Here is a 27,313-nt window from a genome sequence, read left to right on the forward strand (position 1 = left end):
CAGATAGCTATAAGGGCATGAGCACTGGCTGCAGATCATTGCCAATTTCGTGATAGTGGAAGCCAGTGGCATGAATGAGATCATCCAGCTCATGGGTGAGGGGGAGGATCGGGAGAGCAGAGGGCCCTGGGCAACGCAGAGATGAAAGGGATGGTCCCTGTCTCCAGAGGTGTGTAAATAAGGGAGTGGAACTGAGTGACCATCACCCCAGCCCTTTCACACCAGCTGAATAGAGTGGTACCATTTGAGCTCTGTCATTAGCCAGCAGCCTCTGAGCCCACAGGTCCCCGAGAGCTATTTGTCCGAGCTTAGCAACCCCCTTCCTGAGCCTGTGGCAGGGCTGCCCTGCTCTCTGCAGCTGTTCATGAACAGCTGATGGGGATGACCCTGGGATTTCCTTCTCTCCGGGAAGCACAGGATCAAAGAGAGCTGATGGTGGTGGTTACCCCTCTGCCTTAAGGTCACGGAGAAGTCCAGGTCAGGTTCTACCAGTGCCTGCCTCCTTCCCACAGGCACCGGCAGCATCCACTCTGAGGTCTAGGGACCGGAGGCAGACCTTAATGTTCTCAAATATCACAGTTGGTGGCTAGCCTCGGATCCAACACCTAGAAAAGACTTATCCTGGAATCCTTTGGTTGTATCTACCCTGTAAGACAATCTTGTCCAACCTGTGGCCCAGGATGGCTTTGAATGCGGCCCAACACAAATTCATAAACTTTCTTGTAGCAGGATGAGTTTTTTTTTTTTTTTCTCATCAGTTATCGTTAGTATATTTTATGCATGGCCCAAGACAATTCTTCTTCAATGTGGCCCAGGGAAGCCAAAAGATTGGACACTCCTACTGTAAGATCTGCCTGAATATAAAAATAAGCAGAGCAGCCGTGGTGGCCTGTTTGCCAGTGCCTGCACTTCACTAAGACCTTTGTATGCTTTCTGTCACTGAATCTAGGGAACTTTTATTTTTTATGTATTTATTTTTGAGACGGAATCTTGCTCTGTCACCCAGGCTGGAGTGCAGTGGCATGATCTCTGCAACCTCTGCCTTCTGGGTTTAAGCGATTCTCCTGCCTCAGCCTTCCGAATAGCTAAGATTACAGATGCCCACCACCATGCCTGGCTAATTTTTTTATATTGTTGGTAGAGACGGGGTTTCACCATGTTGGCCACACTGGTCTCAAACTCCTGACCTCAAGTGATCCTACTGCCTCGGCCACCCAAAGTGATGGGATTAGAAGTGTGAGCCACTGCGCCTGGCCTGAATCTGGGGAACTTTTAGATAAGAACTTTATGAGATGGGGGCTGTACCCATTTTACAGATTAGGAAACTGAGGCTCAGAGAAGTTAGGTGATGTGCCCAAAGTGGAGTCTGCACCTGTCTATACTGAATACACTCCCAGGTTAGAACCTGGAATTTATGCTAACCATTGGCCATGTCCCTGTCCTGAGAGAACTCATCCCCAAAACTGCCACACCTCAGCTGCACGTGTGTGTGCTGCCAATGTCCTATCCCTGTTCCTACACGCTCCTAGGCCCGCCTCAAGAGACCACAGGAATTCTGATGAATTAATCTCATCACTTTATCGAGGAGGCACTTAAAAAAATTACAAAGCAAGGCCGCCAGCCTGGCTTTGCTGGCAGCTAGCCGCTGGGGCCATAAAATAAATTGAAAGGAACCAAAATAAACAAATAATTAGGTCTCTCTCTCTGACACACACACACACACACACACACACACACACACACACACACACAAACACACACACATGCATGCAGGCCAACCCCTAAAGGGTGAAGAGCCTGGTTGGGGACTTGCTGTTAGCACTTGGTCCTCTTGTCCTGGGAGAGCACCAGTTCCAGCTCTGCACACACACTTCCTGACTCCTTGCTCTGAGCAGCAGCCTGTGGCCTTATCCTTCCTCAAAAAGTGACAGGTTGGCTGAGCAGCTGAGAGCAAAGCATGGGAAAAGTGAAGAGTGTGCAAAGGGTGTCCCAGGCAGCTGGAGGTGTGAAGCCCATGGAGAGCCCTGTGAGCTCCTGGCACAGTGGCTCAGAGCAGGCTGGAGCTGACGGGCTGGGTCCCAGTCCTTACTGTCCCATACCCTGGATTCTGTTCACCCTCTCCTTTTTTTTTTTTTTTTTTTTTTGAGACAGAGTCTCGCTCTGTCACCCAGGCTGGAGTGCAGTGGCGCGATCTCGGCTCACTGCTCCCTCTGGCTCCTGGGTTCAAGCAATCCTTCTGCCTCAGCCTCCCGACTAGCTGGGACTACAGGTGTGCACCACCACACCTGGCTAAGTTTTGTATTTTTAGTAGAGACAGGGTTTCACCATGTTGGCCAGGCTGGTCTTGAACTCCTGACCTCAGATGATCTGACTGCCTGGGCCTCCCAAAGTGCTGGGATTACAGGCGTGAGCCACCACACCCAGCCCCTCTATCTTACAGATGAGAAAAATCTGTTTACCTCCGGGGTTGCTGGGAACATGAAATCCTTGGGATCTGTAAAGCAGAGCTGTGGCTGCTCCCTGACAAGCATTCGCCAGTGTGAGCTCCCCGTGTGTGCGCATTGAGCGGCTGGGTGTCCCAGGCAGTGGGACTAGAGAGGAGCTGGAGTAGGTGGAGGAGGCAGACAGATACAACACAGGGGACATTAATGGGTTATCAGCAGGGAGAAGGAGCGCCTCCCCATGTGGGACCTGGAGAAACAGAGGGTGGAGGGAGCATAGAGAGTCTGTTCTAAGCTGCAAAGCAAAGGCCTGGCGACCTAGGAGACCATGGAGTTCCAGAAAGTGATAGTTATGCAGAGCGAATGGAGGGAATCAGCACGCTGAGGCTGCAGAGAGAGGGTGGGCCTGGGTGGGAACGGGCCAAATCCTCCAGCGCCTTCTAAGCCAAGATAAAAGCTTGAATGAATTAGCTTTCATATGTGTTTTTCTCCTTTCTGTTTGTCTTTTGAATTTTACCGGGCTTACATGAATATTGAAATTATTCCCCAAGAAACCACCCAAGCCAGAATGCTCTAAGAAATAGGGCTAGACAAAAGCAGGTAGGGGTACACAGAATCTTCATCCCTTCCCCTTCCCATCGCCTTCCATCCTCCAGCACAGAGCATGACCTCCAGCTCCCTCCCTGCAAGAAATGGGATGGGGAGAAAGGTGGTGCCTGCTGGACTTGAGACAGGGAGAGAGAGGGAGAGGGGGAGAGAGGGAGATGGGGAGAGAGGGAGGGAGGATAGCTAGCCTTCACCTGTAGATCTCTGAGGTGCTCCGGAAATAGTTTTCTTCACCAGTAAAAAGGGATGAGAATACTCTCTGAGCCTTTGTGAGTACTCAATACAGTTAGGCACATTGAGTAATTTTGCTACCTCAAAGCACTTTGTTAATGGTAGAACATGGTTCATGCTTGTTTCCAGAAAATCCAATAGAAAAGGTTTCCATCCATATCCCATGTGGGGAGGTGGTGACACAGGGAAGCCCAAGGCCACCCTTCTCCCCTACTACCCACCAGGCGACCTCAGCCGCTGGGTCAGCACCAGGCACCTGTCCTCAGTGGGGCAGCACTTCCAATTTCCCCATCCTCCTTGTGAGATACAGGGTGGGACAGGAGATCTGTGTGGCCTTGGGTAACCTGCTTCAGCTCCCAGAGCCTCAGTTTCTTGGTCTATGAAATGGGACACTGATGTGCCTTCAGAGGCTGTTGTGAGGACTGAGGGAGCTGTGCAGACTATGCACACAGTAGGTGCACAATAAATCTTAGCTGCTATTCCTCTGAAGTGGGTAGGGTTTGGTGTGGAGGATTCAGATAGGCAAGCCTCCAGCTCCTCCCTGCTCCCTCAGGAGGTGGGGCTGGAACGAGAGATGTGTTCTAGTTGAGAGATTCTGTTCTGGAAAACCCTGGCTCAGGCTGACCTCAAGCACTTTGGGACAGGAGTCGAAGAGACACAATACCAAAACAGTACTGTGATGTGCTGTTCTTCATTTGTACGTTCCAGTTACATTTTTTTTTGAGACGGAGTTTTGCTCTTGTCACCCAGGCTGGAGTGCAATGGCGCAATCTCGGCTCACTGCAACCTCCGCCTCATGGGTTCAAGTGATTCTCCTGCCTCAGCCTTCCGAGTAGCTGTGATTATAGGTGCCCACCCCTATGCCCAACTAATTTTTTTTTGTATTTTTAGTAGAGACAGGGTTTCACCGTATTGGCCAGGCTGGTCTCGAACTCCATACCTCAGGTGATCCACCTACCTCTGCCTCCCAAAGTGCTGGATTACAGGCATGAGCCACTGCGCCCGGCCACTCCAATTGCATTTCTTTACCTCCCCCACCTGCTCTCCCCCCATCGTCTTTCCCTCCATTACCAGGCACATTGTAGGTGCTCAATGCGTATTCGTTAATAAGAGTCAGCAGGTCAGATGCCTGTATTAGAAAGGCAGTCACAGCCTCTCCTGACTGGACTGTCAACCCTCCCAGGAAGAGCGCTGGAAGGTCAGTTCAACCTAAATAAGACCTCTGTGTTCACACTGCATAGAAACACTTGGAAAACTCATCTGTAAAATGGGAATAGTATTAGTACTTATTTTCTCTTTCATGGAATTGCTATTGGGAGGGGAGGGACTCTGTAGATCAGTCATTCACTGCATTCTACCTGCCTGTCTCTATATTGCGGGGGCTGTGCTAAGTGCTGCTGGACACTGGGGAGCAGCCCAAGGTCTTGGCTTCGTGGGGCCTACAGCTTAAAAGAGCATGGGTTGGGTTTATGGTAGCCATTCTTTTGTTTTGTTTTGTTTTGTTTTGTTTTGTTTTGTTTTGTTTTGTTTGAGACAGAGTCTCGGTCTGTCACCCATGCTGGAGTGAAGTGGCGTGATCTCGGCTCACTGCAACCTCTACCTCCCGGGTTCAAGCAATTCTCCTATCTCAGCCTCCCGAGTAGCTGGGATTACAGGCACATGCCACCACACCTGGCTAATTTTTTTGTATTTTTAGTAGAGACGGCATTTCACCATATTGGTCAGGCTGGTCTCGAACTCCTGACCTCAGGTGATCCACCAACCTCGGCTTCCCAAAGTGCTGGGATTACAGGCATGAGCCACTGTACCCGGCCTGGTAGCCATTCTTATAACCCATGAAAGGAGTGGCCTGAAAAATTTATCACAGATTCCCTCCGCTGAATGAACTCTGCTCATAAAATGACCCCCTCGCATTGAATAGTGTTTAAAGCAGTTGTCCATATGTGGTCTTGGTTAATTCTTCATTTAGTAGATTATCTCACTGTTTTGAAGATGAAGAAATTTCAACTTGGTCAGAGGAAAGTATATCCTCAAGGTTAGCAAAGCCAGGTGGCCTGGGCCCCTCCAGTGGGATGCAGAACCCGGGCCTTGATCCTGGTGGACGCAGAGTTTCCAGGAGGCTTTTCCCACATGTTGGGGTCCCAGGCTGGAGGCTGGAGGAGCCTGTGGTGGTGGTGGTGGTGGTGGTGGTAGTGGTGGTCTGCACTAATGTTCTGGTCAGCATAGGGGGCGTTCTCCTCCTGGAGTAAAAGGCCAGCTTAGTGAGTTTTGATGTCCCTGCCCAGAAGTGGCTTCAACACTGTGGGTGGCCATCCTCTGGAGAGTGTTTCCCCAAGTAGCTGCCTGGTCCACCCAGACCTGCCACCTGGAGTCTCCATATGGAAGAGTTCAAAATGTTCTGACAAGCACCTCAGAGCACCTGCTTTGAGAACACTAGGGGGGAGTGGCAGCTCTGGCAAATTAAAATCCCCATCCAGCCAGCCCTGCGCTGGCAGGTGGGGGCCCTGGGCGGCCAGCACCCGGCAACCCTCTCTGTGTCTGGTTGCAGGGAACATTGAGTACAGCTGCCCGGCCACCAACGAGTGCGAGATCACCAAACGGAGGCGCAAGTCCTGCCAGGCCTGCCGCTTCATGAAATGCCTCAAAGTGGGGATGCTGAAGGAAGGTAAGAGACCCCACCGAGTCGGGGTTCACTGTGAGGCTCTGCTTGCTGGGGAGTTTTTGTCCCCTGTGAGACACCCACAAGCTGTGGACCTGTGTCCCAGGGTGAGACCCAGTCTGAGCGCCCATCTCCTCCCACACCCTGCCAGCCTGCCACGGCGCCCGCATGGCTCTCCTCCTTTAGGGAGGTGGGAATTGGAATTTCTTCATTAAGGATCCTTCCGAACCCCTGACCCCACTTGGGCCCCAGTGGGCCTGGCACTCTGGGAAGGCCCTCCTTTAGGGGCAAATCCCACGTCTACCCTAGGAGGGGTAGGCTTAAGAGGCTGTTATATCACCTAGCACCCTCAAGGGCTTGGGGGTGAAAAGGACAGACACATTAAGTCCGGGAATGATAAATAATGTTCCCTTCACCTGTGAAGAATGGCATTTGTTTTCTGGTGGGTGGACAGGACATGGCTCTTGCCTTGGGAATGCTGCTCCCTTCCTTGTTCCCTCTCTTCCCATCCTCTCCCTTCCCTCTCCTTTCTCTCCCTGCGTCCTCTGTCTCTAGAGCTGTGCTGTCTAATATGGCAACCACCAGCCACACGTGGCTCCCGAGTGCTGGTCCAAACAGAGGTGTGCTGAGTGTACAACACATGCCTGCTTTAGAGGACTTAATAGGACCATAAAAGGCAGTGTAAAGTCTGGTGGTGATCCTTTTAAAAATGTGATTGCATGCAGAAAGGCTAATCTTCTGGACATGTTAAATAAAACATATTGTGAAATTAGCATCACATGCTTCTTTGTTTTTTTTTTTTTTTTTTGGAGACGGAGTCTTGCTCTGTCACCCAGGCTGGAGTGCAGTGGCGCAATCTCGGCTCACTGCAAGCTCTGCCTCCTGGGTTCACGCCATTCTCATGCCTCAGCCTCCCGAGTAGCTGGGACTACAGGCGCCCGCCACCTCGCCCGGCTAATTTTTTTGTATTTTTAGTAGAGACGGGGTTTCACGGTGTTAGCCAGGATGGTCTCGATTTCCTGACCTCGTGATCTGCCCGTCTCAGCCTCCCAAAGTGCTGGGATTACAGGTGTAAGCCACCGCACCCGGCCTCTTTTTATCTATTCGTTAATGTGACTACTAGAAAATTTGAAATGACACGTAGCTCTCATTGGGACAACTGCTCCAGGTCTCCTCTTCCTCACTTTCTCTACTGATTTGCTCCTTTTTTTATATTAAAATATTATTGATAGAGGCAAGGTCTTGCCATGTTGCTCAGGTTGGTCTCCAACTCCTGGGCTCAGGCAGTCCTCCCACCTCAGCCTCCTAAAGTGCTGGGATTACAGGCATGAGCCACTATGCCCAGCCGATGTTTTCAGTTTGAGGAACCTTGTTCAGTACCATTTTGGGGATGGGTCGTGAGTGTATGTGTTTCCCTGCTTCTCCAGCTTCCAAGGGGAGCCAGTGAAAATTCTTAGAGATCAACTTTTAAGCTCCGGGCCTGGAATCCTTCTAGAAGTGGGAGGAAACAGGAAAAGAGGTGTGTGGGGGTGATCAGAAGGGGCTACAGAGAGAACGAAGGGACAGGTTTGGAATCCAGACCCTTCCTGGAGGGGGAAGGCTAGGAGTGGGCTTCTGGAAGCCCAGCCCAGCCTTGGGAGCCCCAGGGCACTCCTGCTACCCCCTCTCCCAGGGCCCTCTGAAGATAAGGGCCCAGACCTAAGACGCTTTGTCAATACAACTTGGACCATCATGTGCTATAGAAATTGGACCTTCCACTTCCGTTTACCATTTCCAGGTCCCCCACTTCACCTCAGCTCAGCCCAGCACCTGTATCCATAAAACAGAAGCTCTTGAAGCAGGCCCTCGGCGGCCTTTGTGTCGACATGGCACACTGGCTTTTAAAATGCTCCTCATTCGGGGCTTCATTTAACCCCTTTGTGATGGAGTGGACCACTCAGCTCTTAGACAGGCCAGCTGCTTCGTTAGGGGCTCAACCGAAAAAACAGTCTCCTTTCCAGATTAAAAATGGGCTACATCGAGCCCGCAGAAAGGCTGTCTGTTGGTTCATTTTTGACTCTATATAATTTTGGTCTTGCTCCTGGATAGGATGACCCAAACTAGTGGCTGAACTGGGTCCCCTGACTCCTATGTTGGGCCCTTTCTGCTCCTTCAGAGCCTCCTGGTATTCACAGATGGGAAAATTGAGGCAAAAGGCCCATAGAAGCATGCCTGAGTGCTGGTCTCTTGACTTTCTCTCCGTGTGGTGCTGGGAATCTGAGGGTTTCTAAGCTTTGGAGACTCATTCATTCCTCTTAAGCCCAAGAGACAGAGCTGCTTGACCTGTTGTTCTCACATACAGAGCTGGATGTGAGAACAGCAGGTCAAGCAGGGGGCCAGGGGCCACTTGGTCACAGCGTGCAGCCTCCCTGCCTACTTGACAGTATCCGCGGCACTTAGAGCAGCCAGAAGCCTCATTGTTTTCAATATAGCCCTGAATTTTACAGGTGACAAAATGGAGCCCTACAGGGGCTGGGGTGAGATGACTCCTACCCTCAGTCACACATTCATCTGAGGGGAGCTGGGCCCAGAGGCTGGAACTTTCCTTGCCCTGTTCAGTGCCTGCTCCCCATGGCACAGCACAGGGATGGGGGAGGTCGAGAGGGAACCTCCCACTCAATTCCTGGACCATCTTGTAACACTGAGCAGAGTCTCTTTAGGGGCTATGCAGTGCTGGGAAGAGAGAAGGGCACTTTCTAGTGGCTTCCCAGAAAGCAGGAGATGGTGAAGGGGTGCACTGATGGCAGGGAGGGAGGTGGTGAGGCCCACAATTGACCGGTGGCCACTCAGACATCCAGACTGGCACTTGTCAGAGAAACGAGGTGGACACTGTGTGTCCCAGGATGATGGTATCGGGGGTGCTGGGAGGACAGGGGCATGAGACCCCTGCTGCCTCAAGTGGGGAGGATGTTCAGGGGAAGCCTCAGTGTTGACACCCCTGCCCCGCTGCAAATATAGCCCTTTGGTTGATGGTCTTTACCCAGGGTGGCAGCTGGGGCCTCCCAGGCAGACATGCTCGGCTCGAAAAGGCCCTTTAAGGAGTTCTGCCTGAAGGAGGAAGGGACAGCCACTAGAACGCTCCCTCCCCCACTCCCCGCCAGTGCTGGCAGGTCCAGATCCAAGAGCGGGGAGATGACACAAAGGCTCCTGAGTACGGACAAAGCAGGGAGCCACGTTTAGTTTCTGTCCCCTGCAGGGCCTTGGAGAGATCCTGGGATCTGAAGCTCCGTGGGGACCGACCCCCTTGGGAGGAGCATCCTCCTTCAACAGCCTGGGCCCCTGCCAGGTGGGGGCTCTTGGCAGCTGCCTGGCTTGGCTTTTGTTTGGGTGTCCCTCCTGGCTCTGCAGGCAAGGCCCAGGCCCCCCAAGACCAGCGTGGGCTCATCGCCCACCTCAGACTCTGACGGGACTCTAAAAGGCAAACTTCACCTTCCCCAGGGCTGCTCTCCGCTTTAGGGTCCCATAGTGGGCCTCTGTTGCTTGGGGGGCTTTGGGGGTCCAGGGGCTTGGGGAGGGCTGCAGACGGAGAGATGTGGGTGCCTCCGCCCTCTCTGCTCCCCTCGCCTGCACGTCTGAACACCACCCTCCCGCCCTCATCCAGCCACATTCTCCTTGTGTTTTATGATTTTTCCTTTCTTAGGTAAAATAATCAGAGATCGTTTCCCAGTTTGGGGGCCCAGCAACAGCCACAGAAGAAATCAGACTTGGGGCTTCCTCTGGCTCTCCCTCTCTCTTAAGACTGTGGCCAGCTCAGGGATCTAAGCTTTTCAGATTCCTCACGTGGCTGGGGACAGATCCTATGGCCACGTCCCTGTGACTTTCTCCCTGGAACATCCAGAGCAGACCATGGAAAACAGGAGCTGTCCAAAGGCCTATCTTGCTTTAAGCAAATCTAGTACATAAAAATCTGTATTTTCAGAGAAAAGGTAATTTTTCTCTTTTAAAAACTGAACACAAAATCTGGGTTAGGAGTTGATGGCCTGTGTTCTGCCCCTGGTTATTAGGTATTTTTGCCCGTGTAATTTTTTTTTTTTCTTTTGAGAAAGACAAAAAAAAGCCTCACTCTGTCGCCAGGCTGGAGTGCAGTGGCGCGATCTAGGCTCACCACACCCTCCACCTCCCGGGTTCAAGCAATTCTCCTGCTTCAGTCTCCTGGGTAGCTGAGACTACAAGTGTGCAACACCACGCCCAGCTAATTTTTGTATTTTTAGTAGAGATGGGGTTTCACCATGTTGGCCAGGATGGTCTCAGTCTCAACCTTGTGATCTGCCCGCCTCAGCCTCCCAAAGTGCTGGGATTACAGGCGTGAGCCACTGCCCCCAGCTGCTGTTTAATATTATTACTCACGCCCACCTGCTTCCATTTCTTCACTGTAAAACGGGGATGTTGATACCTGCTTTCCTTCACCAGGTCAAAGTGGGGACCTGGGACAGATGGGACAGCTCCTCTTGGCAGAATCCACTATGGGATTGCTTTGCAATGTCAGCTCCCTTGATGCGTTAAAATACTCCAGTGTTGGATTCAGGCTGGGTGCGGTGGCTCATGCCTGTAATCCCAGCACTTGGGGAGGCCAAGGTGGGCAGATCACCTGAGGTCAGGAGTTCGAGACCAGCCTGGCCAACATGGTAAAATGCCTTCTCTACTAAAAATACAAAAATTAGCTGGGCGTGGTGGCACGCGCATGTAATCCCAGCTACTCTGGAAACTGAGGCAGGAGCATTGCTTGAACCCAGGAGGCAGAGGTTGCAGTGAGCTGAGATTGTGTCACTGCATTCCAGCCTGGGCGACAGTGCAAGCCTCTGTCTCAAAAAAAAAAAAAAAAAAAAAATTCTAGTGTTTGATTCAAAGACAACCTCATTTACACTCAGCTTTTCATCAGTCTGCCCCTTGTGTTTGGGGAGGCAGACTGGTGTCTGGCCACCCTGATTTTCTTCCTAGATTTGTTGGTGGGAATCTTAAAAGACGGCCTTGTCTTGGGCTGGTCCCCACTGTGGGTTCTAGAATCAGGATGGGCAGCTCCCCTGGTAGTCAGCCTTTGCAGCCTGGCTAGGGTGTGGACTGACTCTGGAAAACCACTAGCTGCATTTCCTAAGGGGCTCCCCGAGGCCTCAGTACAGCTCTGGGATATCAGCAATTCTCTCTAGACAGCCTGTCCCCGCCAACTTCACCTCCTCCTCACCTCACCTCCCTCACGCGACCGGCCTCCCAAGCCCGCTCCATTTCTCCCCCACTCAGCCCCTGCCTGCCTTTCCCCAAGTGTTTTCTAAAAGATATTTGATTTCAGTGAAAGCTGGGCCGACATCCATGCAATATGCTCTCACTTGCTTTGTGCTTGTTGGGAAGGTGGAGGGCTCCTCCGGGGATTCTGGGTAATTGTGTTAGTGGCCAGCTCATGTCAGGAAATTAAAAGGAGGCCCTGATCAGGTTCCCACTGCATGGGATTTAATGGCCTTGTATTTATAGAGTATTCTGCCTCTAGCCCATGCCAGAAATATCACTTTTTTTCTGGCCCTGTGAATGAAGAAAGAGCAAGAGAGATGACTTGCCTTTAAAAATTCTTTTTCTTTTCCAAAATATATTAGTGTTTTGAAACAAACCAACTCTTTACCACTTTATAGAATGGTATTGAGCTACAGCCTGAGAATGCCAATGTGTGTTGCATCCCTTTCGAGCCACTTTACATTCTACACACACTGCCCCCCCCCCAACACCACCACCCCCCAAACACGCACACACACACATACCTGACAGCTCACAGGATCTTCCCAGGCACCCTGAAGCCTTTGGGCCACTCAGCCACAATGACCTCTGGTTGGAGAAGTGTTGATTGAATGAAGACGAAGGAGATGATCTTGTCTGTGCTAAATCGTTCTTACTGTTCCCTGCAGGCTTTTGGATAACGGTACGGTGGTCACGTAGGCCTGGTTAAACCTCATCTTCACCACTTATCGACTCCTTGGGCCAGTTACTTAAACCCCTGTAAGCCTCCCTTTCCTCCTCCATAAAATGGGAATCATAATAGTGCCTATCTTCATCTTGCTCCCAATCTTCAGGGAAAGCTCCTAGAGTTATACTGTGAAGTCTGATTGTTGATTGGAGATAGATATTCTTCATGTACAAAATGGATATTCTTCTGTGATCCAGAGGCAATTTTGAATCTCCTGTAGCCTCACTCCCTACTCTTGTAATCTTGCTTCACATTTTCATGAAAAAATAGAAAGTCAAATGGGACACATCTTACCCTCCTACCATTGAATCCACAAACCTACCAGTTTGTGCACCTGTTTTCTGCCTTCTTCTTGGTAGAATAGAGGTATTCCCAATCCTGACAAACGCTGGTCCCCCTCCTGCCCTTCTGTGCTCTGAATCGCTCTCTTCTTTACCAAGGACTTCATTCCTTTATTTATTTTTTTTTCTGAGATGGAGTCTCGCTCTGTTGCCCTGGCTGGACTGCAGTGGTGCCATCTCTGTTCACTGCAACCTCTGCCTCCCAGGTTCAAGCGATTCTCCTGCCTCAACTTCCCAAGTAGCTGAGATTATAGGCATGCGCCACCATGCCCAGCTAAGTTTTTGTATTTTTAGTAGAGACAGGGTTTCACCATGTTGGTCAGGCTGTTCGTGAACTCCTGACCTCAAATGATCTGCCCGCCTCAGCCTCCCCAAGTGCTGGGATTGCAGGAGTGAGCTACCATGCCCAACCCCTTACCAAGGACTTCATTCCTATAGTATCTTCTCTGCTTCCAGCATCATCGAATTCTCTCTCACTACTGGATCATTTCATTAGCACACAAGTACACTTCTGTTCTCCCATTATGAAGACAAAATTAAATTTATTTTTTAACTTTTAAAAAATGTTAAAAAAATTTTTTTTCACATTAAAAAAAGAGACAGGCTGGTCTCAAACTCTTGGGCTCAAGCAATCAACCCACCTTAGCCCCTCAAAATGCTGGGATGACAGGGGTGGGTCACCACGCCCAGCCAAAAACAAAATTAAATTTAAAAAAATCCACAACTATATTTTGTCCCTTCATCTCCATCTAGATATTGCTACCTGATCCCACTGTCTTTCTCAACAAAACCTCCTAAAGGAATTGACAGCACTTGCTATGTTCATTTTCTTGTCCCATTCACCCCTTTCTTTAAAAAAACTTCTTTAAAAAGTAAACATTGAATAGATCCAGAAATACACTTATAATATAGTACATTAGGTAAAGACTAGGCTGTGTTTTTTGTTGTTTTTTTTTTTTTTCTTTTTTTTTTTTTTTTTTTTTGAGACAGAGTCTTGCTCTGTCACCCAGGCTGGAGTGCAATGGCACAATCTTGGCTCACTGCAACCCCTGCCTCCCAGGTTCAAGAGATTCTCCTGCCTCAGCCTCCTGAGTAGCTGCTATTACAGGCATGCATCACCACGCCTGGTTAATTTTTTGTAATTTTAGTAGAGATGGGGTTTCACCATGTTGGCCCAGGCTAGTCTTGAACTCCTGACCTCAGGTGATCCACCTGCCTTGGCCTCCCAAAGTGTTGGGATTATAGGCATGAGCTACTGCTCCAGGCCACGCTAGGCTTCTAAAAGAAGGAGACTCCCTTTTTCCCTCCACAAACCAAACCAAACCCCAAAACCACCCAGAAGCCTAAGCAGGATAGCAGTTTCATTCCCGCTCATTTCTTACATAACAGTCAGAAGGTCACAGGCAATCCCAGACTGGCTGGCAGCTCTGCCAAGCTTAGCATGTGGCTTGCCCTTGTGGACCCCAGTTCTTCCCATCTCACAGACATCTAGAAGGAGGAAAAGCTCCATGTGAAGGGCTGGACCCTAAGTAGCACACATCTGTTCTTCCCACTCACAGCCCAGGGCCACACTTTTCTGCCAGGGAGTCTTGGAATTGTAGCCATTATCTGGGACGCTGTGTACCCAGCTAAAACGTTGTTGGTATGGAAAAAGGGAATGACATATTTTCAAATACAAGTATTGTTTTTTTGTGGGGATTTTGTTATTGTTGCTGTTTTTAAAGAGACAAGGTATTGCTCTGTGGCCCAGGCTGGAGTGCAGTGACATGATCATAGCTCACTGTAACCTCAAACTATTGGGCTCAAGAGATCCTCCCCACCTCAGCCTCCTAAGTAGCTGGTCTACAGGCATGTGCCAACATGTGGGGCTAATTTAAAAAATTTTTTTTGTAGAGACAAAGGTCTTGCTTATATTGCCCAGGCTGGTCTCGAACCCCTGGCATAAAGCAACCCTCCTGCTTCAGCCTCCCAAATTCTTCCCTAGATATTTTAGACCTGAATATCTAACCACACTATTGGCATTGCCACTTGTGTCCTTTATGAGACATCACAGATTAAACATGTCTAGAGAGGAACTCTAGGTTTGAACCATTCCTCCTTCTATTGCTTCCAGTCTTTCCCATCTCAGGAATGGTGATGCTAGTCACCTATTGCTCAAAAGAAACCTGGAGGTCATCCTTGACTCCTCCCAGGTCAATGTCCAAAATGTATTTCAGATTCTCCTACTTTTCTTCATCTCCATGGTCATGACCCTGGTCCAAGGAAGCATTGTTTTTTCCTGGACCACTGTGGCAGTTTCCTAACTGGACTTCTGATTCCACTCTTAGTCCTGTTTAATCCCCCTAGCAGTGATCTTGTTAAAGCACTGGTAAGATTCTGTCATTTTGCTTTACATCACTCAGTGGCTCTCCATAGCACTTAAAATACAATCCAAACACTTTGCTTTGGTCTTCAAGACCTTGCATGGTCTACCCACTCCCTACCTCTTCAGTATCATCTCATACCATTCCTTTCCTGTCTGTTCACTCCTACCCACTCTGCTCCAGCCTCCCTGGCTTATTTTTGACCCTCAAGCATGACAAACTGTTTCCCATCTTAGGACTTTCAGGGCCTTCCCTCTGCCTGGAATCCTCTCCCCAAAGCTGGCTCCTTCTTATCCTTCCGACCTCAAGTTAAATGTTATCTTCTCAGAAAGGCCTCCCTATCCACTCTATTACTTGCTGTCATATCCCCTTGTATGCTTCTTCATTGAACTTCTTTCAGTCTGACATTATCTTATTTATTTATTTATTTGCAGACGTGTTTGCACTGGCTGCCTCTAACACAGTTGTTCTTAATTCAGGCTCCAGGATGGCAAGTTGCCTTTAGTTGCACTCAGCTGGAGTGCATGATTGAAAGGCTTCTTAGGCAGTGTCTGGGATCAGCAGGTAAGAGTGCCATGATTGATTAGCAATGTCTGCCACAGACTAAGAAATGGAAGGCAGGGGCACAGGTGATAAGTCTTTGCCATGCCTGATCTGGTCAACTGAGTTTCAGCGATTTGACCAAGGCCAGACAGCTAGTTAATGACAGAGCTGGGTGGAATCTAGTCTCCTTGGCTATGTGGAATTCCTTCTAAGAAGCCTATTCGAACCTCACGGTTGATGCCTTGGCCAGTAGTGAAGCCTGTAGCCCTTTCTCAAAGGGGAAAAAAGAAAGGAACGGAAAGGGAAGCTGGGCTGAAATAACTTCTCTGTGTCAGGCGTACAGTTTTGGAGACTTCTTGGCAGTTGGGAATGCAGGCGTAACACAGTTTTGTCAAAATGCCCTTGGGGACATGGTGGCATGGTAAGAAGTGTCTAGAGGAGCCCAGCATGATAGCAGACACTCCTTTAATAGGCAGAATTCTGAGAGCTCATCACTCACTAACACTTATCCACCACAGTGCCCGGAGCCCACAGAGCAGCTGGCAAAAGCCCTGGAATATTAGGTGTCATGTATGTCTGTTTAGCTACAAGGCTCTCTCTCTTAGCTTTTAGGAAGTCAGGTGTGAGGCACTCTGCCTTTACGGTGTGTCACTGGGGTAAGAGGCAGCCCAAATGAGCCATTGTGTCTGAGGCAGCAAGGCAAGCTTGCCTGTCACCCAGAAACCCGCACAGGACAGGTGGCTGAAGGAAGTCCAGTGTATACAAGGGTTGTGGCTGAGAGTTCAGGGCATTGCACTGGGCTGGAATGCCCATCAGCATGCCCACACAACTTCCAGAACCTCAGGGGCTCATGATACCCACATCACCTTCTGGGTGGTTTTCTCCTCCTCCTGGAGATGGGTCAGCTATAGTTTGGTAGAACCTACAGGCAGGGAGTTCACCCCCAAGTTTCCTGGGAAGAACACTGGCCACATAAAAGTATTGAAAAAACGGGTTTAGCACAGTGCTCCCCAGACCTGGCACATAATTAGAATTAGTAGAGGAGCTTTGGAAAAATACTCATTCCTCGACATCTCCCTAGACCTACTGACTCAGAGCCTCTAAATGAGTAAGTCCTCAAAGTCTGTGCCGTTCAAAGGCTTCCTAGGGCATTCTGAGGTTATATGGGACTGGCGTCACAAGTTTAGGGCAAAGAAGATAGGACTTGGAGATCTGAAAATCAAGGTTCAAAATTTCCCTGTGACGTTTCTTGGATGTGTGATCCTGAACGAGTCGCCTGACCTTTCTGAGCTTCAGATCTTGCATGGAACTAATCATAATCATGTATATTCTTCCTCCTCAACATTGTTGGGCAGCTTAAATGAGATACGGGTATGAAATAGATTTGTAAACCATGAAGCTGCTTATTTCGTTAATAAACCAGGGATGTTGAATTTGGTGATGGGGGAAAGTTCTGGATAAGGGGAAGAGAAGGGTGTTGGTCATGAAAACCTTGCAATGCCAGTGGGGATCTTGACCTCAGACCTGGATAGTAGCTGATGGGAGGGCAGAGGCCTTTCCCTCGCCTGCCCTGTCTGAACCTTTCCTGTTGGAAGAGAAATATGATGTGGGAAGCGCCTGGGACAGGCTTAGGGCCAGGTGCAGGGCCACGCTTTGCAGAGCTTTAGCCGGCTATTTTTAGTGCCCGGGTGTAAAAGAAAGAAGCTTAAAGTGGCCCCGCTGCGGCTGACCCTGCACACTCGGCTATTTTTACTTCCGAAAGACTGGGATCTTGTCCAGCTTAGGCAGGGAAGATGAGAAGAAAGGAGGGAGGTGGAGGGAAGAAGGAATTATTTTACTTCCATTAAGAAAAATGTCAGAAACCTGATCTTATCAAGTCAGCAAGTGGGTATCCAATCCCGGATGTGTAAGGTGCCGGCTGTGGACGCTGTGACGTGCCTGCAGTGGATTGGAGAGGCCAGCAGAGGGGGAGCCCCGCTCCCCTCCTCTCAAGGAGTTTCTGTCCCAGAGTGGCCCCGAAGCTTCTTTGCTATTTTTTGTGCCCTGAGCTGGGAAGTGGGCTTGGCCCCCACAGGCACGAGGGGCACCAGCCTGGTGACGAGGCCGGTGGAGGTGGGAGCAGTTATGACTGCAGCCAAGGGTGGAACCTCTGTTCTCAAGTTGGACAAAGGCAGCCATCAGACCCACTGGCATATTCCAGAGAGTCCCAGTGTTGGGGCTGTGTGCCCTGGGCACAATATTTAACCTCTCTGAACCTTAATTTCTTCAGGGATTTTGTTTAATACATCTGACTGACAGTAGTTACAACTGTGGGGATGTGTTTCTCTCTTCCATGAGGAAGGCAGTTCAAGCCAGACTCTATGACCTTCAACAGGCAGATGAAAGGCAAGAAGTTACTACTGAGTGCCTACTGTGTACCAAGCACTCTGTTACGTTTCAATATTTTATGTTGTTAATTCCACTAACCTGAGAAAGGATACATATTTTTAAAAAATTTTAACAGCTTTATTGAAATATAGTTCACCCATTTAAAGTATACAGTTTGATAGCGTTTTGTATTCCTATATTTGTAAATTGTGGCAAAATATACGTCAAGTACAACTTGGCATTTTAGAAATTAAGTGTACAATTCAGTGACATCAAACACATTCACAATATTATGCAATCACCGGCCATGTACTGTGGCTCATGCCTGTAATCCCAGTATTTCGGGAGGCTGAAGAGGGTGGATTGCTTAAGCTCAGGAGTTTGAGACTAGCCTGGCCAACATGGTGAAACCCTATCTCTACAAAATATACAAAAATTAGCCAGGTGTGGTGGCATGTACCCATAATCCCGGCTATTCAGGAGGCCGAGGCAGGAGGATCACTTGAGTCCAGGATCGTGCCACTGCACTCTAGCCTGGGTGACAAACTGCGACCCTGTCTCAAACAAAACAAAACAAAACAAAACAAAACAAAACAAACCATTATGTAATCACCATCAGACCAGGAGTTCAAGTCCAGCCTGGGCAACATAGTGAGATCCCCCATCTACCAAAAAAAAAAAGAAAGGAGGGGGCCAGGCACAGTGGTTCATACCTGTAATCCCAGCACTTTGGGAGGCTGAGGCAGAAGGATCGCTTGAGGTCAGGAGTTCGAGACCAGCCTGGGCAACATAGTGAGACCCCCATCTTTGCAAAAAAATTTTTAAAAAATTATCTGGGTGTCATGGCATGTGCCTATGGTCCCAGCTACGTGGGAGGCTGAGGTGGAAAGATCTCTTGAGGCTGGGAGGTCAAGGATGCAGAGAGCCAGCCTGGCCTATAGAGTGAGACCCTGTCTCTTAAAAAAAAATGGGGTGTGGTGGTGTACACTTGTAGTCCCAGCTCCTGGAGAGGCTGAGGCAGGAGGATCACTGGAGCCCAGTAGTTTGAGGTTGCAGCGAGCTGTGATGGACTCACTGCACTGCAGCCTGGGCAACAGAGGAAGACCTTGCCTCGAAAAAAAAAAAAAAGAAAGAAAGAAAAAGTGGAATCACATAATATTTGTCCTTTGGTGTCCTTTTGGTTTATTTTCCTTAGCGTAGTGTTTTTAAAGTGCATTCATGTTATAGCATATATCAGAACTTTATTCCTTTCTATGACTAAGTAACATTTCATGTATATACCACATTTGCTTCTCCACTCATCTATCCACGGACACTTGGGTTGTTTCCACCTTTTGGCCATTGTGATTATGCTGCAGTGAACATTGTCCTACAGGCGTCTGTTCAAATTCCTTCTTTTTATTTTTTAAAAATTTGCTTCTTTTCCCCACACTACACAGATGTATGTTCAGATTTCTCTTTTCAGTTTTTTTGGGGGTGTATACCTAAGAGTGGGATTGCTGAATCATATGGTAATTCTGTCTAGCTTTTTGAGGAACCATCAAACTATGTTCTACATGGTTACACCATTTTACTTTTCCAGCAGCATTGTTTTTTAAGTTTTTAATTAAACTTCTTATTTTGAGATAATTGCAGATTCACATGCAGTTGTAAGAAATAATACAGAGAGATGCCATGCATCGCTTACCCAGTTTCCCCTAATGGTAACATCTTAAAAAACTACAGTACAATATCACAACCAGGATATTGACATTGATACAGTCAATTGACATTGATATGGTCAAGATGCAGAAAATCTTTAAGAGTGAAGTGGGTTTTTTTTTTTATTAATTTTTTTTTTAGATGGAGTCTCACTCTGTTGCCCAGGCTGGAGTGAAATGGTGTGATCTCAACTCAAGATCTCCGTCTGCACAGGGTCATGTATTCCAGGGATTATCAATTTTTTTCTATTCATGGAGCACTCAGAAATATTAAAATTTTGACCTGTACACATTAAGGGATTAAACGGTGTTAATGGTGGTTAAAACAAAGGATCTGTATTTATTGCAGTATTTGGAAATATGTGACACTTTACATTTGAGCATTATTAATGCTTTTTTGCATTCAGAAAATTATCAATAAGATGATAAAATCTAATAATCCTAGACAGTAATTGTAAGTTAATTAGTATTTTAATGTGTTTCCTGAGTCTACTTTTAGATATTTTACTAATGTAAGGACACAAACAATAAGGCAACTCTCATTTCAAGTTCAAGTCTTCTTGTTTATTTCCAGTTAGTGTTTGTAAGTCTTAAGCATCCTAATTTTAAAAGTAATTGCCCATTGTATCAGTCAGTGAAAATTGCTTTCTGCTGCAAGTTACGGAGAACCTGATAGCTAGCAGCGTAAGCATGGATAAATGAAGTTGGTTTTTCCACCTTACAAGAAGCCTGGAGATGCGCAGCTGCTGTATTGCACAAAGTTCTCAGCCATGGCGGCAGGGGCGCTCCAGCTCTTTCTTTCTTCTCTGGTGTTCTTTGGTGTCCTCAGACAGCCATGTCATGGCTGCAAGGTCGTTGCCACACCTGTAGGCTTCACCTTCCAGGCTGGGGCAAGAGAAAGGCAAAAGAGCTGCACTGAACATGGCTGTCCCTTTTCTCAGAAAAGCAAAACCGTTCCAGAAGTCCTGCCATGGACTTAACCTGACATCCCATTGCCGTGGTGGCACGCACCTGTGGTCCCAGCTACTCGAGAGGCTGAGGCATGAGAATGGCTTGAACCTGGGAGGCGGAGGTTGCAGTGAGCCGAGATCACACCACTGCAGTCCGGCCTGGGCCACAGAGTGAGAGTCTGTCTCAAAAACAGTAAAAAAAGGAGAAGGCCGCTTCACTTTGGTGGGGTTCCATCTTCCCCAACCCCAGGCTAGGGGTGCACAGGTCTGTGTCACAGGACCCTCCCACTCTAAATGGCCCTAGCAAGTCCTGAGTGTGAGGCAGTGCCAGAGCAGGGGAGAAATAGAGCAAGCCAGGGTCCTGTCCTCTAAGAACCCATCGAATCGAAGAGCTGATGGGTATAAAGGGAAACCAGCATGAGGTGGCCTGTGAGGTATCAGATGAATGTTGAAGTGCTATGGGTTGGCAGGAGGGTGGTAGAAGAGATGGCCTCACCCAGCCTACTGGAACTGCTTTCCAGCTTACCAAGCATTTTCTCATCATTAAGTCATACAATTGTCACAAAAGCCATCTACCTTGAGCAGAGTTGGTTTTACCATCGCCTCCTTCCCCAGACCTGAAGATGCAGCTGAAGCCCACTTGTCCAAGGCCAAATAACCTGAAATAACCCGTAAGGGACAGAGATGGGCATGGGACCTTCATTATCGAGCCCATGGGCTGCAGTGATTGTGGGCTGTGCTTAGGGCAGGCTCAGAAGAGCAGACAGGAAGCAAGGGGAACAGACACATTTCACATCAGGTGTCAGTTTGTGCATAATTAAACCCAACAGGCTACTGTTTTTTTAACAGCGTAATCTGATAATTGATACACGTATTGATTGGAGCCATTGACCACTATGCTGTAAAGATCAGGAGGAGAAAATTTAGAGGAGAATTTAACATTTGCTGTGCGCTGGGAGGTCATACCATGGAATGGCAAAAAGCTTGGGTCTTTTATTGGGGAAATCACTGAATCTCTCTGAGCCTCAGTTTTTCTTATTTGTAAAATGAGGATAATAGCACCTGCCTTATATTTTTGTGGGTTAAGTAGGGTAATACATACAGAGAGTCCTTTACAAATTATGCTGTTATCATTATCATTATTCATGTGATTTACCAAAAACTTGGATGCAATGCTGGGGAACAGTAATAATAAGGATGATGATAATAACCATAATAATCCCATTTTCTAAGCACATGCTGCATCTTGGGTACCATGACAGACTTTGGGGCAGGACTGTGAGCCGCCCCTGGCCTTAACGGGTGCCTAGTCAGTAGGGGAAGCCCAGTGTGCTCTGGGAGCCCATGAAGAAGCCCCCAGCCTGGCATGGGGATGAGGAGGACAGAGGTACATCCACCCCTGTATTCATCAAGTCTTTCCTGAACATCCATGAAAGGTCAGGCCCTATATCAGGACACAGAACATCCCAGATGGAGACATCGGCAGAGGTGGCAGCTGCCCATCTCCTTGCCTTGCCGAGGGACAGACACCTCTTTTTATTTTGTGTTGAGCATGCCTCACTCTGATTGACAGCTGCTTGCCGGGAAGCAGGCTGGATGGGAAGCGAGAGTTCATTCCAGTGGTATCTAGGAGAGAAGGTCAGTAAAGTGGGGAAGGGGCTTGTCCTGGACTCAAGGAGAGTATATGTTTAAGATCCTGGCATATAGTAGGTGCTCAGTAAGTGGGGGCCCTTACTGTCTCTTATGGATGAGGTGGACCGTTTTCACTTTCGGTCCTGTCACCATTCCAAGGGGAAGCAGAACTTGGTGGAGGGTTTGGTTTGGCCTGGGTATAGTGAACAGAGGAGGCTTCTATGTAGACATGTCACAGGATAGAGTCAGAAAGCTTTTCTAGACAGGGAACTTTTCCCAAAAGACTTTTACAGGAAGAATCATCCTTCCTGTGTTTGTGTCTGCTCCTTATGCTGTCACTGAAGGGGCTTGCAGGGGGTGAGGGAGCAAATGTGAGCCAAAGTGCTAGCAGCACATAGGTTCAGGTCTGGAGCTGGATGGCATCTAGCTGTCCCTTTAGGGTCCAAGGTACAGGCAGAAGTTGATGGTACAGCTGCGTTTGCTAGGATGCCTTAGTGCAGTGCTCCTCAAACTCTGTTGTCCGTGCAAATCACCTTGTCTGATTCCTCTGTGGCCAGGCCTGAGATTTTGAGGCATCTAACAAGCCTCAAATGATGGTGATGATGCTGGCCTGCAGACCACACTTGAGGAGGAAGACAGCGGAGACTGCTCCTGCCCACACCTACTCAGCACTGTCTGTTTGTGTGTGTGTGTGTGTACGTGTGCATGCGTGCGTGTGTGTGTGTGTGCTGATCTGACGCCTAGGCTTTCTTTGGCCACCAGAGTCTGCTCAGCCTGGACCTGGGAGGCAGGCAAGAAGCGCCAAAGCAGCCGGTAGCTGGGAGCCTCAGTTGCCCACAGCAGTACTGTCCTCAGGAACACATTTGTTATTGGCTTTCTTCCCTCCTTGGAAACTGCTCGCATGCACAGCCTTGTCTCAGATTCTGCTCCTGGAGAAGTCAACAACAAATGTCAGTTACAAAACCTGACCTTCTAGGCAGAAGGGGAGTTTATTGGAAGCCTATCAGGAGGTTCAAAGAGTACATTTAGAAACCAGACAAGAACCAGGAGAATCCCTGGAGAGCCCAGGAGCAGGAAACCCAGTAGCCAGGACATACTGGCCAGGGGCTGCCTACACTCTGCTGGGGAGGCGCTGCTGGTCTGATCAGTCCTCACCTTCGCTCTGTCCTTGTGCCTCCGTTTGATGGTGCACTTGGCTGAGCCTGTGTCACGGGTCCATGCCTTGACCTCCAGAGAGCAGAGAGAAGGAGAACATGTACTTCTCAGATATCCATTGAGGGGTGGGACACAGACTTCCAACAGTTTCCGTATTCCCAATAGGGGAATTACATTTTTTAAATTTTCTTTTGAGATGGAGTCTCACTCTGTTACTCAGGCTGGAGTGCAGTGGTGCAATCTCAGCTCACTGCAACCTCCACCTCCTGGGTTCAAGCGATCCTTGTGCCTCAGCCACCCGAGTAGCTGGAATTACAGGCACGTGCCACCACACCTGGCTAATTTTTGTATTTTTGGTAGAGATGGGGTTTCGCCATGGTAGCTAGGCTGATCTTGAACTCCTGACCTCAAGGGCTACGGCCTCCCAAAGTGCTGGGATTACAGGGGTGAGCCACCGCACCTGACCAGGGGAATTACCTTTAAACAGGAAGCCTGGGTGGGCTGCTGAGTAGACTCCCCCTCTCCCCGACTAAAAAACGTTTAGCACCAGGTACAAATACACCAGGTTGTGGGGTTGAAAAAGACATTGCTGACAAAAATGAGGAGTTGTGGGCTCACTCAGTGAACTCACAGCATCCTTGCCCTCCAGGGCTGGAGTCCTGAACTGAAAACACCTGGGGCAGCAGAGGGGTGGGGGGTAGTGTCCTTAGCATCCCAAAGTTCCTTTAGGGCAATGTGCACTTAAAGGAGTTTTCTCCACTCATTCAGTAAACAAAGTAATTTTGCTTTCAGTTGCTCTAGGAAACTTCCTTCTTCTCAGGGACTGAAATTTAGTAGCTGAACATCCTAACAAAGAAACAGCCAGAAAATAGCCCCAGGCATGAATGGGCTCTAAATCATCATTCCATTAAGTAACCATTGTTCTGACTTCCCCTTGCCTGTTCTGGAGAAAGGCCTGAATCCGGGGGACTGGCAGCCAACACTCTGGGGCTGAAGGATGGACAAGGCTGGGACAGGAAGGAAGATTCTGTTTCTTCTGCTCCCCATCTAGGAAGTACCAGAGTTTATTAGAAAAGGGAAAGGGCCCTGAAGGTCAACTGACTGGGGCTCTGTGAGGGTGATACTCACTGCCTTTGGGGAAAAGAACAGAAGTTGAACCTGGCCTGTCGCAGCAGAGGCTGAGGTGGCAACCCAGCTTTCTTCTCTGAGGACTCTGGTCTCCGTGTCTGACTTCTTGTGTGTTTCAGTCAAGGCCCATTTCATGATCAGGAAAAGGGAGCTGTTCAGTGAGCTCAAGGTAAGGACTCCAAGAAGGAACGTTGTCTGAGGCTGGCCTGGAAGAGCCACAGCAAGAAGGCAGAAGTGGCTTCCAGGCCCCACAGGGCCCCAGCACCATGCTTGGGGCACCTGCTCTCTGGTGCTTTTTGTGTTGGTTCATACTTTGTAACCAATTTGTTGGGATTCATCCTTGCAGGCCAGGCCACATCAGTGGGTAGCCAGTCTGAGCTGTGTGTCCACCTGAGGCCCTGTGCCTTCGATCTGCTGGTGGGGGGCATGAAATGGTACCAATGTGTCTGTCCAGGCAGCAGGAGCTGTGGGTGAGGCAGGCTTCCGGAAGGCAAGTTGGATTCAGTGACAATGACAGATCTCTCCAGGGTAAACTCTCACTCCTGGAAGTGGCTGTCTACGTGGAGTAGCCACAGCTGCTTTTGAACCTACTTTCAAGATATTTCCAGGCACTGATTTTCCAGTCCAGAGGTGGCCAGCCCAACTGTTGCATTCCCATCCCCTGGGGACTTGTGTAAAGACAGACTCTAGAGCTTTATGCTAGAACCTCAGAGAGTGGGGTCTAGAAATTGACATTTGTAATGAGCGCCTCCTCAGATGCTTCTTGTGTGAAAAGTCTGAAAACCCTTGAAGTGCCTGTGAATGACCGGGATTCCTTTCTTTTGTTGGCAAGTTAACCCTCCCTGGATTCAAAGCAGATCTAACATAATGTGACTTCTTCCGCCAACACTTGGTAGAGTGCCTTTGTTGACATAAGGAGAACCAAGGGCTGAGGGTTGCTTGGGATGAATTTCAGAAGGATGCTGAATCCAGAGAGACAGGACCAGGCCTGGGGCAACGGGATGCGCCATTACTGTTAGACAATTATTTTAGGATTGTCCAGCCACCTGGCCTGAGGCTGGCCGTGGGGCAGCTGTCGAAGGTCATCCGAGCAAGGCCCTGAAGGACCCAGCCAGTGCTGAAATTCCAAAGTCAGTGCTTCTACCCTGGTGATGTTGAACAACTGCTGAGATCTTTTCCCTTTCCTCCCCAATAGGTGTGCGCCTTGATCGAGTGCGTGGAGGCCGTCAGAAATACAAGCGACGGCTGGACTCAGAGAGCAGCCCATACCTGAGCTTACAAATTTCTCCACCTGCTAAAAAGCCATGTGAGTGTCAGGGCAGTCCCTGCCCCTTTTGCCAGCATCTGTACCTGGAACATCAGGCATCCCTTAGGGAAACATCATCTTCCCACCACTGGGTCATGAGACAATGTGGATCTTGGGGAGGTGACATCAGTGCCTGGCACATTTAGAATGTGGCTCCAAATGAAGCATGGTCCTGACAAGCCACGGGCCCCAATGTCCAGAACATGCTCCCCTTGCCACCCACCCAAAGTTGCTCTGCAGGTTCCTCCTGGAGAATTCGTCAGGCAACTTCCCTTGGAGGGATATTTCTCAACAGCCCAGATCACCACTACCAGCAACTTCATGGAGCCAGAACAGGAGGGGAGATTATAGCCGCTTTGACCTTCCTGGAGCTCTTAGGAACCCAACTTTGCTTCCTGACCCATCTGAGCCTCCACCCCGGCCCCTTTCCTCTTTTCCCAGCATTTACCTTTCCCTCTTTGGTTGTTGCAGTGACCAAGATTGTCTCATACCTACTGGTGGCTGAGCCGGACAAGCTCTATGCCATGCCTCCCCCTGGTATGCCTGAGGGGGACATCAAGGCCCTGACCACTCTCTGTGACCTGGCAGACCGAGAGCTTGTGGTCATCATTGGCTGGGCCAAGCACATCCCAGGTGAGCATGTGGGACCAGGGGAGAGTGTGGCCAGGGACTCTCAGCCGGTATCTCCGCAGCCTACCCAATGGCTGTGCTTCTGATGCCCGGATCCTGGACCCCAGAAGGCCTGTGAAATCCTGGCAGGCCTGTTTCTCTGAGCTCCTCTTCTCTCCTTGTAGCATTGGAGAGGAACAGGTAGTTAGAAGACCCAGTGAGGCTTATACACTGCTGCAGGCTCTTCAGAATTAGTTATCATTCGAGGCGGGGCCATGTTTGGATCTACAATCAGTGTAATATTCAAAGAACAAGTTCCTTGAGCCCTTAAAGGGCAAAGAGTAGGGTTTTCTTGTAGACCTTATTGGAAGGATGCCAGAAAACAACAGAAGAAAGACTGACCCTCTCTTCCTATTGGAGGCAGCAGAATGGAGCAGTGAAGAGCATGGCCTTGGGAATCAGATCGGGATTCCAATTCTGGGTCTGCAGCTTACTAGCTGAGTAACCCTAGGTAGGCCACCTGACCTCTCTGTCAAATGGGAATACAAGAGTCCCCCACTTTGTGAGCTTTGATGTGAGCATGAAATGAGATCCTGTGTGTGAAGTGTTCGGCACAGTGTCTGGCATGTGCTGGCATCAGTTGCATGCCCACTATTGCCATTCGCCTGATCTCTAAGGGAGGCCTGTCTCTGGATTGGCTTCTGAGATTTTAAGGGCCTTTCTGGTGCGGAAAGTGTGTGTTCCATGTTTCAGGCTGTGTGGACTTCTCTTCGCTGTGTGTGGACCCAAACCCTGCTTTCACCCTCTCTAGGTCTGGGCAGATGGCGGGAGCTTTTTTATTTTTGTAGACACCAACACCCATGTATTCTACATTACATACACATTGGGGGCCTTTCTCTGTGCAATTTATTCCTCAACTCCTTTAAGACTCTAATAAGTTGACTCAGAGTGTGGTAGAAACATCCTTTTATCCTTCTGGTAATGACCCACCATGAACATGGGACAAGTCAGCTTCCTGTCTGTAGATCCGTTTTTGGTTTGTCATGGCTCTGAAAGGTGATTACAGCAGACGATACAGCAAAGGTGACCTAGACTTTAGATACCAAGACCCACAGTTGTTTGTTTGTTTGTTTTTTGAGACAGAGTCTTGCTCTGTTACCCAGGCTGGAGTGTAATGGCGCGATCTCGGCTCACTGCAACCTTCGCCCCCCAGGTTCAAGTGATTCTCGGGCCTCAGCCTCCCCAGTAGCTGGGATTACAGGTGCCTGCCACCACACCCAGCTAATTTTTTTGTAT

General features: G+C 49.1%; 1 protein-coding gene across 9 annotated transcripts in view, besides 2 other annotated features; it reads left to right on the forward strand.

The window, feature by feature from the left end:
* The window catches only part of ESRRB (estrogen related receptor beta), a 191,061-nt gene that overhangs the window by 145,942 nt on the left and 17,806 nt on the right, over window positions 1–27,313 (forward strand). For all 9 annotated transcript variants that reach the window (XM_047431079.1, NM_001411038.1, NM_004452.4 and 6 more), the window contains 3 exons: window positions 5,827–5,943; window positions 25,298–25,408; window positions 25,880–26,041. In XM_047431079.1, the coding sequence (XP_047287035.1) occupies window positions 5,827–5,943; window positions 25,298–25,408; window positions 25,880–26,041 (390 nt within the window). The remainder of the gene's footprint in view (window positions 1–5,826; window positions 5,944–25,297; window positions 25,409–25,879; window positions 26,042–27,313) is intronic.
* Window positions 17,035–17,084: an enhancer, noted in NCBI's record as "active region_8769". NCBI's record gives its function as "activates an Ori minimal core promoter by ATAC-STARR-seq in GM12878 lymphoblastoid cells {active_cell/tissue: GM12878}" and the evidence as "EXISTENCE:reporter gene assay evidence [ECO:0000049][PMID:35858748]".
* Window positions 17,095–17,164: an enhancer, noted in NCBI's record as "active region_8770". NCBI's record gives its function as "activates an Ori minimal core promoter by ATAC-STARR-seq in GM12878 lymphoblastoid cells {active_cell/tissue: GM12878}" and the evidence as "EXISTENCE:reporter gene assay evidence [ECO:0000049][PMID:35858748]".

The sequence above is a fragment of the Homo sapiens genome, chromosome 14, assembly GCF_000001405.40.
Source record: "Homo sapiens chromosome 14, GRCh38.p14 Primary Assembly".
NCBI lineage: Eukaryota > Metazoa > Chordata > Mammalia > Primates > Hominidae > Homo > Homo sapiens.